Source organism: Homo sapiens, chromosome 9 (genome assembly GCF_000001405.40).
Source record: "Homo sapiens chromosome 9, GRCh38.p14 Primary Assembly".
NCBI lineage: Eukaryota > Metazoa > Chordata > Mammalia > Primates > Hominidae > Homo > Homo sapiens.
Genome location: NC_000009.12, coordinates 5,755,414 through 5,768,778, shown reverse-complemented (window position 1 = coordinate 5,768,778; position 13,365 = coordinate 5,755,414). Strand labels below are relative to the sequence as shown.

At 39.3% G+C, this 13,365-nt stretch overlaps 1 protein-coding gene across 16 annotated transcripts in view, besides 1 other annotated feature; it reads right to left on the bottom strand.

The window, feature by feature from the left end:
• RIC1 (RIC1 partner of RAB6A GEF complex) overlaps window positions 1-13,365 on the bottom strand; it is a 149,527-nt gene that overhangs the window by 9,855 nt on the left and 126,307 nt on the right. For all 16 annotated transcript variants that reach the window (XR_428426.4, XR_007061331.1, XR_007061330.1 and 13 more), the window contains 6 exons: window positions 12,407-12,567; window positions 11,328-11,466; window positions 6,119-6,238; window positions 4,911-5,639; window positions 3,207-3,365; window positions 2,981-3,117 (listed from right to left, as the gene is read on the bottom strand). Coding sequence is in view for 12 of the 16 variants with exons in the window: in NM_020829.4 (NP_065880.2) it covers window positions 2,981-3,117; window positions 3,207-3,365; window positions 4,911-5,639; window positions 6,119-6,238; window positions 11,328-11,466; window positions 12,407-12,567 (1,445 nt within the window). In the remaining 4 variants the exon portion in view is untranslated. The remainder of the gene's footprint in view (window positions 1-2,980; window positions 3,118-3,206; window positions 3,366-4,910; window positions 5,640-6,118; window positions 6,239-11,327; window positions 11,467-12,406; window positions 12,568-13,365) is intronic.
• Window positions 5,172-6,371: an enhancer, noted in NCBI's record as "CDK7 strongly-dependent group 2 enhancer chr9:5762408-5763607 (GRCh37/hg19 assembly coordinates)". NCBI's record gives its function as "activates an origin of replication core promoter dependent on BRD2, BRD4, P300/CBP, MED14 and CDK7 cofactors, with strong dependence on CDK7, by STARR-seq in HCT116 cells {active_cell/tissue: HCT116}" and the evidence as "EXISTENCE:reporter gene assay evidence [ECO:0000049][PMID:35650434]".

Sequence of the window (13,365 nt, the reverse complement as noted above, 5' to 3'; positions counted from 1 at the left end):
TTAAGACACATTTGTAGAATGAATACAGGGAACAGGAAAAGGGGGACAGAAGAAGTCAGACCAGGAAGCAGGTGATGGGTGGCTGACAGAAAGAAAGGCAGCAAACCTCTATGCTATATTTGAAAAGCCCAATGAAAAGAGGGAAGGAGAGCACATCAAAGAAACTAAGGATAGAGAGGCAAAGTGAAATTAAATTTCTCAGTGTGAGTCATGCAGACATATGAAAAGAATACCAACTTTTTTTTTCTTAAATGACAAGGTTTCACAATGTCACCCAGTCTGGAGTGCAGTGGTGTGATCATAGCTCACTGCAACCTCAAACTCCTGGGCTCAAGCTATCTTCCCCACCTCAGCCTCCCAAGTAGCTGGGACTACAGGTACTTGCCACCATGCCTAGCCAATGTATTTTTATTTTTGCAAGGATGGGATCTTGCTGTGTTGCCCAGACTCATCTTGAACTCCTGGCCTCAAGCAATCCTCCCACCTTGGCCTCCCAAAGTGCTGGAATTACAGGTGTTAGCCACCTTGCCAGTCCTGAAACCAATTTTTAAAAATTACAACTTGCCTAAGTATAGTCTCTCATTCCTGACTTACATGAGCTAATGTGGGGGAACTGGTTTGGTAACTGGATAATGTGGTGCTTTAAGTGAGAGGCAGTTTAGTGGTGGGGTAAAGAGCCTAGTCTCTGGTGCAGTACTGCCTGGATTCGGATCTTGGCTCTGCCACTCATTTGTTGTGTGAACATAACTAAGTTTATTTTCCTAGGCCTCTGTTTCTTCACCTATACAATGTGGATAACCCTCATAGAGTTGTTTAAAATAGGACCTATGTATGTAAATGCTTAGAATAAGGCCTGGCATGTAGTAAGCACTTGTTAAAAAACAGTAAAACAGGCTGGGCATGGTGGCTCATGCCTGTAATCCCAGCACTTTGGGAGGCAGAGGCAGGCGGATCACCTGAGGTCGGGAGTTTGAGACTAGCCTGACCAATACGGAGAAACCCCGTCTCTACTAAAAATACAAAATGAGCCAGGCGTGGTGGTGCATGCCTGTAATCCCAGCTACTTGGGAGGCTGAGGCAGAAGAATCACTTGAACCTGGGAGGCGGAGATTGCGATGAGCCGAGATCAAGCCATTGCACTCCAGCCTGGGCAACAAGAGCGAAACTCCATCTCAAAAAACAAAAAAACCCAGTAAAACATGACAATAACAAACGTTCAATAAGCTCTCACTATGTGCCCAAGCACGGTAGTAAGAATATAAACATATGTTCATGTTGTCCTGGGGAAAAAAAAAAAAAGAGAATATGAACAATATAAAACAAAGGATTAGGTAAGGAAAAAAATGAGACAACAACAGAAGAACATAGGAAGGAATACACAGGCCTCACAAACCAGAGGAAATTCTCATGATTTTATAATGTTAGTGTGAATTCATAGTCATCTCTCAGAAGACAATATCCCATCTATGGGTGATAGCAGTTTCAGTCTCCAGCATACAATTCATTTGGCTCCCCGACTGTGTAATAACTTCTCTAATCAATAGGTCACAAGAGTGTCAAATGCATTAGCACTAAATTTATATCAAAAAGTATAATTAGAAGGAAAGGTAAAATTACGACTTTAAGAAGGCTTTTGGATTACCTACAGATTTATCTATCTTCCTTTTGGTCCTCTATCATCAGAGGTAATTTAAAAGTTTGTTGCATTTTCAAATCAAAACCACAACGCAATGCCACCTTACTCCTGCAAGAATGACCATAATCAAAAAACAGTAGATGTTGGCATGGATGTGGCCATCAGGGAACACTTCTACACTGCCGGTGGGAATGTAAACTAGTACAGCTGCTATGGAAAACAGGGTGGAGATTCCCTCAATAACCAAAAGTAGAACTACCATTTGATCCAGCAATCTCACTACTGGGGTTCTACCCAGAGGAAAAGAAGTCATTCAAAAAAGATACTTGCACACACGTTTATAGCAGCACAGTTCACAACTGCAAAATCGTGGAACCAACCCAAATGCCCATCAGTCAACGAGTGGATAAAGAAACTTGTATATACGTATATATGATGGAATACTACTCAGCCATAAAAAGGAATGAATTAACAGCATTTGCAGTGACCTGATGAGATTGGAGAGTATTATTCTAAGTGAAGTAACTCAGGAATGGAAAACCAAATGTAGTATGTTCTCACTGATATGTGGGAGCTAAACCATGAGGACGCAAAGGCATAAGAATGATACAATGGACTTTGGGGACTTGGGGGAAAGGCTGGGAGGGGGTGAGGGATAAAAGACAACAAATATGGTGCAGTGTATACTGCTTGGGTGATGGGTGCACCAAAATCTCACAAATCACCACTAAATAACTTATTAATGTAACCAAATACCACCTGGACCCCAGTAACTTATGGGAAAAAAAAGTTTGTAGCATTTGGCCAGGTAGGGTGGCTCACGCTTGTAATCCCGGCCCTTTGGGAAGCAGAGGCAGGTGGATCCTTGAGGCCAGGAGTTCGAGACTAGCCTGGGCAACATGTTGAAACCCCGTCTCTACTAAAAATATGAAAATTAGCCGAGTGTGGTGGCATATGCCTGTAATCCCAGCTACTTGGGTGGCTGAGGCAGGATAATCGCTTGAACCTGTAAGGCGGAGGTTGCAGTGAGCTGAGATGGTGCCACTGCATTCCAGCCTGGGTGACAGAGTGAGACTCTGTCTTAAACAAGTTTGTTACATTCAGAACAGGTACATGAAGATCTATTCCAGAAAAAGGGGCAGAAACTATTCAGAGGGTGCTGAAGTGAACTTGGGAGGAAGGAAAAAGGGAAGCCTTCTGTGTGGCCTCTGCTTTTTGGGAATGGAAAAAGAAACTGCAATTGGATTAAATAGTTGTTTCCATTAAGACCTAATTTTGTAAATGTCTTGAAATGCAATGTGTCATGAATGCCCAAAAAGCAGTAATGGCTCTTTATTATTTTACCTTTTTCCAGAGGGACCAGATGGCATACTTAGTGTTTTCTGTAAACTGAATTTACTGGCAGGAACATTTTCAGCTGACTGGGATAAACTGATGCTTCGATTCCTGAAGAACTCAAATCCACCACTTGAACTGGGTTCCTAGGATTACACACCATATGCAGTACCATTAGAGAAAGATGCTACGTGGGTGTATGGCCTAGAGAAGATGTGTAACTTTTGCAACTAACCTGAGCTGTGGGTGTGGATGGAGGTGTCTCAGATTCTCCAGAGCCAATGGCTTTAAGAAATCGAATCATGTGTCGACAAAGGTCCCACTTGCCTTGTTCTAGTGCTGTGTTGAATAGAAGGGTAGCATGTTGCCTACTTACTGCAGGGACTTCCATATTCTACAAAAAACAACCAGGACAGCATTCTTTTTATACTACACAATTTGGGAAGATATGAGCAATTCTTTATCTCGTTTTCTAAACTCAAAGAATGTAGCCACACCACCACAGGGGTTAGTTTAATAATAAGATTAAAAAGTACCATACAAGGAAAAGCGAGGCAAGTACTCTTCTGGTGTATGTAAACTATAATTTATTAAACTCCTACTACATGCCAGATAGCATACATATACTTTAAGTCATTTCATTTATTTCTCCCAGTGACTCTGCAGATAGGCATATCATTTGTATTTTACAAGTGAGGAAACTGAGTTAAGTAAATTGTTGAAGATCAGCAGAAAAGGAAGAAAAAAAAGGGAGGTTTGCCTGACTCCAAAATAGGTCAGGTCTGTCTCCTGTTGCAGAGTTTTCTGAGGATGTGACTAGAATCTTTGCTTTGGGCAATAGCAAGTAGTAAAGTTCTGCTGCACATTCAGAATCCTCCATTTTTCTTTCACAAATTTAACCTGCCTATCTTGGTCTTTATGGAAAGGTGCCTAATAGACAACTGTAATTGTAATTATTATCTGCCAATCCATAGCAACTTAGGAATTCTGTTGCAGAAAAAAATTACATTGTCAGGGAGATACAGTGAAGTTGCAGGGAGTGACCCGGAACCAAAAAACAGCTGCATTTATTTTGATTCTATTTTTAAAACCCTATGTCTTTTTCTTTAGGGTTAGCCATGGAATCATACTTCAAGGCCACCTGGCCTCTGCTTGAGTGTCTCCTCTGGTTTCAGTTCATTGTCATGAAGCAAAGAAGCTGACAGGAAATCTGCTTCAGGCAGAGATTGAAACCAGGTTTATGGTTAGCTTCTTACATCAATGGAAACAACTTTGCAGTAACTGGAAAGAATCTTTAAGTGTAGCCTATCAAATAACCAACTGTCAAGCCCTTTTGTCAAATAGCTAATGAAATAAATTTTCAGGAGTTGCAAAGAAGCCATTATTTTGAGAAAAACTGTGTGCTATGAGGGTCTTTGCTGTGGCAGGCCTGAGCCTTCTCAGCTTGCTTTGGGGAAGACTAGCTCAAGGTGCTCTGTTATGACCATGCTCTAATAAGTGTCCCCTCAGTAACCCACACTGAAAGGAAACAAATCTACTGTTGTGAGAAGCTCAAACTCACTAATATCTCAAATAATACTTTCTTTGCTATGTTTCTTATGTAATATTTCAATAATCTTATGTAATATTTCTTCCATGTTCCTATTACATGTATTCTAATATACATATTAAATTTCTTCAATATATTAAAATTTCAAAACACTACTCTGAACTCATTAATCTGTTTTAGGCCTATTTATGGACAATGGAAAAAATATCTCTGCAATGTTACTTTATGATATTCAAAGGAATCTGTCTGAATTCTTCCAAATTAAAGATATAAACAGAAAATTTGACTATGAATTCCTTAAACACAATCATGGTGTCAAAACAGGACATTTCTATTTTTCTAAGTTTAAGCTCATTAATTCTTGCCCCTTTATAAGAAGAGAATTGTTACCTGTAAGATAATAAGGTAAGAGGCAGCTGTGTCCAAATCCTGAGCCATCAAACACTCCTCAAACAAGTCCTTAGGGTTTCCAACAGCTGCAAAAAGGTAATTCCACAGGGCATATTCGGTCTTCCTGGCACAATGGACAACTGTCTGCAGGAAGAGGGGGAACTCAGTGATAAATTTTGCCACAGTGGGAAGCAGAGGGTCGGGAATGGGCTCCCGTGAGGTAGCTTCTTCTTCCAGTACTTCATGGAGCATGAGCTCCAGCACATGAGGGAAGTAAGGTAATGTGGCACAGGACTGGGCCAAGAGCAAGGCTTGCTCCCCAAGGTTTCTGACCAGAAGTTGACGTAGAATGTGGTGGAGGTAGATCTGAGAGGTTCTCTCCACAACACAGAAAGGGAAGAGCACCTCCAGCTGTTCTCTAGCATTGTTCCGAGTATATAAAGAATCATAGAGCAAAGTGTCATTGACAGCACCAAGGACTAAAGCATCTTCAAACAGAACAGCTAGCGGGTAAATGTTGATGTGGAAAGGCAGCATGATCCGCTGGGACAAGAAGGAATGGGGCTTGCGGTGATCCCTAGGGAAGAGAGGGAGCCAAACTTTCATCCCTGCACCACCACAGCTCAGCCAGAGGGCCTCCAGAAGGTGACGTTTCTGTTTATTTGCTCGACACGTTGTCCAGACATTTTCAACAGACTGGGCTAGTACAACAGGAGGACAGAATGGCAGCTGGAGAAGGAGAGACAAGAATCAAGTTGTTTTCCTATTAAATCTGCAGGTTCTTAAGTTCCTAGGTACTAGTTTACTAAGTCTTTCAAATGATAGTATAATATTTTTTTGGGAAAAGCAAAGGGATCTAATTAGAATTAGAGTTAATAAAAGTATCCTGGCCTTTTAAAGTATATACACTTAAATCTGAAAACAAAACACCCCATGAACTTCACCAGTCTATCCCTATTTTTTCCATTAGAATTTGCAATGAATGATGCCTAAGCAGTTAACATATGGAGTATGGAACATTTCATGATCATTTTGGGACCTTATCCTCCAGTCAGTCAGTCTTACACCCAGAGGCTTAAGACTGATTTTATGGACTTAATTTCTCCTTTCCAAATCATAAAATACTCTTCTCTTAAATTGTTTCATTCCTTCATCCTCATCCCATACCTTCTTAATGTTTGAAAAGAAATGACTAGTACTTTACTCACAAGTTTCCTTTGGTTATTAGGGTTACTGTCCTTCTCCCGGATCTGTGGGCCTGACCTGTCCCTCTGCATCATGATGAGCTGTCCTGCCAGGTTTAACATAATGCTCTCTGCACCACGAGCCTGAAATTTAAGAAAAAGCAGCTAAATTCATACTTCTGTATCGGTATGCTTTCCGCATCTCCCCCCAATCCATAAGGTTTATAGGTCAAACAATCTACATTATTTATTGAGGTTGTACTATGTACAGCCATTCTGCTAGGCTCTGTGGGAATATAAGGAGCTTTCTGGCTAGGATGGTACAAAGCCTAACACATAATGCAATTAATGAACACCACCAGTGACATAAGATTGAGGGCAGAGTTGAATTATCCTGAAAAAGCTAAGACAACTTTAGAAGTTTATAAAAATGAGAGATCACTTCAGTGATCTAGCTGTCATAACAACAGAAAGTTTAAAAGGATGCAGTGAACCTGACAGATGAGGAAGACATACACGTGTGGGAGAGTAAGGGTTGGTAATCTAATGGAAAACGAAGACATGGAACTATTGGGAAAGTGAGAACAGTCTGGCTAGACTAGGGACATTATGAGAACAAAGCTGGATGGTAACAGACCTTCAAGGAGGATTCAGAAAGCCAGGTAAAAGAGCAGCAGGAAAGAAGCCACTACTTATGGTTCTTGAATAAGACAGTTATTTAAAAAATCAGAGTTAATCAGGATAGGTTACTGAGGAGAGGCAGATTTCATGGGTGTTGACTTCAGAAATGAGGAAATAGTCTGCCTTTTTATAATGAAAAATTTCAATCAAACCTCAGAGAGCCTAGTATAATGATTTCCAATTGAGCCCTATCACGCAACTTAAACCATTATGCACATTAAACTTTGAGCAGCCCTGTTTTAAAAGGAACCTCAGATATCAAGTCATTTCTATCTGTAAAGAGGAAGGAACATTTTGGTTAAAAAACAGAACTTACTGCTATCCTAGACATGAAAGGTAGAAAAAGAGATGAACCAAAGATGATTTCCAGGTTAGCTGAGGTGCTAGAGAAGTTGAAGTTATTATCACTGATAGAAGACAGGAAGAGAAATTAGGGAAGGGAAAACCAAAGAGTTTCCCTTTTTCTTTTTGGCTCATTTAATTTGAAAAAATAAAAAAAAATTCTTAAGAATTCCAAGTAAAAATGTGAGCAATCACTAAATCAGAGACGACTGTACCAGCATCAGAAGCTTAAAGGTGAGGCTGGGCCAGGCTGGGCGCAGTGGCTCACACCTGTAATCCCAGCATTTGGTGGGAGGCTGAGGTGGGTGGATCACGAGGTCAGGAGTTCAAGACCAACCTGGCCAAAATGGTGAAACCCCGTCTCTACTAAAAACACAAAAATAAGCCGGGCGTGGTGGCAGGTGCCTGTAATCCCAGCTACTTGGGAGGCTGAGGCAGGAGAATCACTTGAACCCGGGAGACGGAGGCTGCAGTGAGCCAAGATTGCACCATTGCACTCTAGCCTGGGTGACAGAGCAAGACTCCGTCTCAAAAAAAAAAAAAAAAAAAAAAAAAAAGGTGAGGCTGGTAAACTGAAGGAGACAGACAGATGTTTCTCAGGCACACTAGCCAGGGTAAAAAGAGCAGCGGGCCATCACCTGAGCTTTTGGAAGACAAAAGAGAAATAGGGAAGCACAATGCTATACATGCTATATAAACAGAAGGAAAGAATTTCAGGGAGGAAAGAGTGAGTATTCAAAACTTGTGGGATTGTGTCCCAGGCTTTGCTGCATGCTGGCTGGCTGAATTTAAGCTACCAATGATCATTTAGGGTTCATCAAGAAAACAGCAGCCACCCTATATATTCTAGTTGCAAAATACTTGGCTATACAAACTACTCTTGCTTACTGCTTTCAGATTCTACAGGGGATTATGTATAAAGAAATGACTAAATAAAAAAATTGGTTATCTATCCAGAAAGTAATTTGGAGGTATGAGAAGTGAACATGGAATTTAGGTGTGTGGCAACTAGAAGAGTCAGACACCTGGATAACAGTAAAATGTAGCTAGATGGCAGAGGAAAAAGAAAAAGACAAACACCTGCAGCAAAACAGCATGACTGGGAACTGCATACACTAAAACACTTCAAAAGACCTTAAAGGCATTTACTGTAATTCACCACAATATGAGTAATGTTTATAATGACTACCTTAAGTTTTAAGATGGTAGATTTCACCACATTTCATACTAATTCATTAAAAAAGTACACTTCTCTTTTCTTCAGTGAGTGGGTATTATCAGTATCCTATCTTAGTATTCAACACTTTCTGATAACGTTAAAGATGACTGCAACAGCACTCTCAAGCAACTTTAATAAAGCTTTCAGAAAAAGCAAGGGCTACATGTATGCCCAAAATCCTAAATTTGAAGGAACCCCAAACTCAATCTCTTACCCTAAAAAAACCCCTGGCAGATGATTCTCTATGAGAGTTTCAGTAACAAGGAGCTCACTCTCATGGAGAGACTATCTTGCTGTTGAAGAGTTTTCACTGTTACTACTATTTTTTTTGAAAACTTTAGTATTAAATGAAAACTTACTTTGCTCCAGCATTCTTTGTCTTCCCTCTATGGTAATCAGTCAATTTTAACTTCTTAATCTGCTCTAGCCAAATTAAGCACCTTCTCTTTGTGAAAGGCCCTCTCAAAATATGGTATCCAGGACTACTGATGCCACTGGTTGCCTACTCTATCTGGGATATATAAGAGTCCTTTTTTAAATATGAAAACTTTAAACATGATTAAAAGTATGGAGAATAGTATAATGAACTTTCACACTGCCATTATCCAGATTCACAATTATCAAGATTTTGCCTTATGTGCTCCATCCATCCCTTATTTTTTTTTCAGTTTTGTCAGAATATTTTCAATTAAGACATGCTACCCATTTTACTTCTACATGTTTAATATGCATTCCTAAAATATATGGGCATCTGCTAACATAGCTACAATGCTAGTATCACATCCAATAAAATTTACAATTATTCCCTACTTTCTCTCTCCATTAGTATTTAAATATCCCTAATTGTTTCAACAGTGTCTTTTCATAGCTGATTTGAATGAAGATACAAATGAGCTTACTGACTTGGTTCTGCAGGGTAGTGATTATCACATTTGCCTCACAAATGACTTTTAACCACTGCATTTGGTTTTTATGGCTTCAAAGTCTTATTTAATCTAGAAGATTCACTCCTTCTTCCCCCATGTTAGTGACTTGTAGCTGTCCAACAGAATGTCTTGTATTCTGCTCCCTTGTGGTAGGGAAGATGACTCTCTATACTTGATTTGATTTGGGTTCAAGATTTTTGGCAATAATTCTTGTGAACTTCATGTTATATCACCTCAAGAAGCATACCATATCTGGTTTTCCCATTTTTAGTGATAAGACTGATTAGTTCCTCAGGACTGCAAAATGATTTTTAAATTGTCACTTTTTTTCACACCTTTTATCTAAACTTCTGTAAAACAGTATATTCCCTTATCAATTAGGACTAACTGGTTACCATTAAATAAGGTTTGCAGAGGAAATGGGAACTATATTTTAAAGGAGAAAACCAATTTTACCTATAGAAGGGAGACCAAGGCCGAGCACGATGGCTCACGCCCTTAATCCCAGCACTTTGGGAGGCCGAGGTGGGCAGATCATGAGGTCAAGAGATTGAGACCATCCTGGCCAACATGGTGAAACCCTGTCTCTACTAAATATACAAAAATTAGCTGGGCGTGGTGGCGTGCACCTGCAGTCCCAGCTAGTTGGGAGGCTGAGGCGGGAGAATTGCTTGAGCCTGGGAGGCAGAGGTTGCACTGAGCCAAGATTGCACCACTGCACTCCAGCCTGGCGATAGAGTGAGACTCCATCTCAAAAAAAAAAAGAAAAAAGGACAAAAAAAAAAAAAAAAAAAGAAGGGAGACCAAGATGCTTAAGGGGTCTAGAATAAACATCCAATGAAATAGTTGGACATATGGAAGTATTTAGCATGCAGATAAGATGACAGAGAGGTTTGAGGAGAGAAGGAGAAGCCAAGGAATGTTAACTGTCTGCAGATATTTTACGGGTCATCATGTGGAAGAGGGACTAGCTTTTACAATGTCTTCTACAAAGAATAGAGAACTGGGATAGAAGGTAACAAAATTGATTTTAGATTCATATAAGTAATATTAAATTCCCCATAACTGGATAGTCTAGTCTAGTCTGTTTTCTAATTATTTTATGGAGTGTTGAGGTTTGATCGAAGTGCCTCGATAGGAAGTAAAAGACAGACTGCCCAGACAGGGATGACAAATAAATCCACATAGAATTTTCCTCTGACAGTAGGTTCCCAGTTGACATGAAGTTTAGAAACCACTGAAATAGAAAGTTATGCAACGTGGGTCCTGGTCGCCCTACTTCTTACCCTGTTACTTTACCCAGAAACTACGGGATTATACTTTCTCTTTCCTCATAATTAACTAATTATAAAGCCCTTGCTATTCTATACTCATTCTACTTCTTTCCATATCCTTTTTCACTGCCCAAGTTCAGACTGTGAACACCACTGACCTAGATCATTACAATGACCTCCCAGTTGCTCTCCCTACAGTAGTTTTGTCTTACTTCAGTTCATTTTCCTCCTTACAGTAAACATTATAAAGCTTAGATCTAATAATACCTACCTTAAAACACTTTAGACTTAAAGTCTAAAATTATCAATATTATCTACAAGACTCATATCCTCTTTCACTTTCCATGTCCCAGTCACTCTAAAATTCTTCCAATTCCCTGAGTGTGTCATGTTCTGCCTTGTCTATGGGCCTTTGCACTACTGTTCCTTCCACCTGAAAATCCATCCCCTCTTAACTTGGATAATTTCTACTTATTCTCCTAGTTTTAATTTAAATGATACAGAAATCTCTGACTGTTCAGACTATAACAGGTTTTTGTTAAATGCTCTCACAGTAATGTGTACTACTTTTTGGTACACGTAACAGGAACAATTCATTATGTATGTAATTATTTATTTAATGCCTGAGCAGAAACCATGTCTTTTTAATTTGCCACTGCAACCCAGCATTCTCATATAAGGTACATTTTAGACACTTAGTATTTATTTGCCAAACAAATACTTCCTAATATGGACTCAAATACTAAAAACAGAAATGTAAACTCCAAAGACCTTTGATAATGGAGTGGTACCTGCTGTGGCATTTTCAAGGTGATTCCATTCTCTGTACTCACTGATGTCAGAGTGACAGATACCACCAGGAAAGGGTGAGGAATGTAGCGTGACATGGAAACCTCCTGAAGAACTTGAATACCAGCAGTAGTATTTGGACTGTAAAAACAAAAGAAACCCACATACCTCAACAACAATGCTAATAAGATTTTCTTTCTTTTCCACTAGTAATAGTATTAGATTTCATGCTTATGGAAGACTCAGATGTCTTACTACCTATCATCTTCTCCCCATATATCCTTCGATCAGGAAGTTGGCAAGGTTGAGGGGAACCAGAGTATATGGGGATGAGAGAGAAAGAAAGGGAGTAACAAATAGGAGGGAAGACGAAAACTAGGGAAGAAGCTATAAGAATACAAATATTTAAGTGGAAAAAACTAGTGGGTTGAGAAAGAATGATGGTTCAATCATTGAGGCTAGTGAGATGTCTTAATTTTTATCTTGCATTACTTCTCAATCACTGTGCTGTTTCAGTAAATACATACTTCAATTAACCTCTGAGAACAAAAATAAAACTCAAGAGGTGTGGTCTAAATACGTTGCAAGTAGACCAGATGCCAAGACAAATATAAGGCAACGTGCAGCAGCAACAACACTGCTGATTTTTTACTGCCCCAGACTACAGCCATCTAGCTCAGTGGAAATATAAGTCAGTTTGCTAAGGACATGCTTCCTACAGTCTTAAAGTTGTAGAACTCCTTCAAATTCCCACCAAGTATCGAGAGCACCAGGAGAGTCAGTAACCATTTATTTTCAAGGTTGTGAAAAAAAATTTAGTATCTAAGGGTTTACCTCATCCCAAACTAGATTTTTTTCAAATGACTCCAGGAAGATAAGCTAAAGAAGTTAGTGTACGATATTTCTTTTTTTTTTAGCTATTATATCAATATCACTAATTAAAACTCCTTGCTTTTTTTACCTCTAACAAAAACAAGATTGAATATAAAAGTGGAATAACTGTTTTGAGAAAACAAAAACTACAAAAGAGAAACGTGGTAAATAGGAGCAAAAAGTGACTTCTCATATGCCAGATACTTACCCATCAGATTTTCTTTCAATACTGTAAAGGCATATTGAACAGTCTGCTCTAAATACTATTACCATGTCCTGGAAGACACTAAGCAGTAATGTTTCTGCTTGTGCTTTGGTGACATGAGCAAAGGCATTGTCCAGATTTGATGTTCGCAAGTATACTCTAAGCTGAAGAAAACAAAAATGAAGAAAATTATAAAAACAAGATAACTACTAGGGATGACCAAATACTTTAAACATGCTGTTTTTAACTTCCGACTTTTTTTTTTTTTTTTAGTAACAGGAGTTAAAAGAACTATCTAAGCTTTAACAGTAAATGGATTATGTTTACATATTTTTGCAGACTAGGCTCATTCTATGAGTAAGCAAAAAATGAAGTGATCAAAACTGAATGTACTATTATAAAATATTCCTTTTAGACCTGCTTTATTTATTTATTTATTTATTTATTTATTTAAAGACGGGGTCTCACTCTGTTGCCCAGGCTGGAGTGCAGTGGCATGATCTCGGCTCACTGCACCCTCCGCCTTCCGGGTTCAAGCAATTCTGCCACCTCAGCTTCCCAAGTAGCTGGGATTACAGGGGTGTGCCACCATACCTGGATAATTTTTGCATTTTTAATAGAGATGGGGTTTCACCATGTTGGCCTGGCTGGTCTTGAACTCCTGACCTCAGGTGATCCACCCGCCTTAGCCTCCCAAAGTGCTTGGATTACAGGCATGAGCCACTGCACCTGGCCTAGACCTGCAGATTTAGACCTGATACATAATAAGACCAGCTGTTTCTCAAAACAAAAAACCAGATACAGTAGTCTCTCTTATCCATGGCTTTGCTCTTCACAGTTTCAGTTATCTACAGTCAACCATGGTCTGAAAATAGGTGAGTACAGTATACTAAGATATTCTGAGAGACCACATTCATACAACTTTTATTACAATATACTGTCATAATTGTTTTATTATTAGT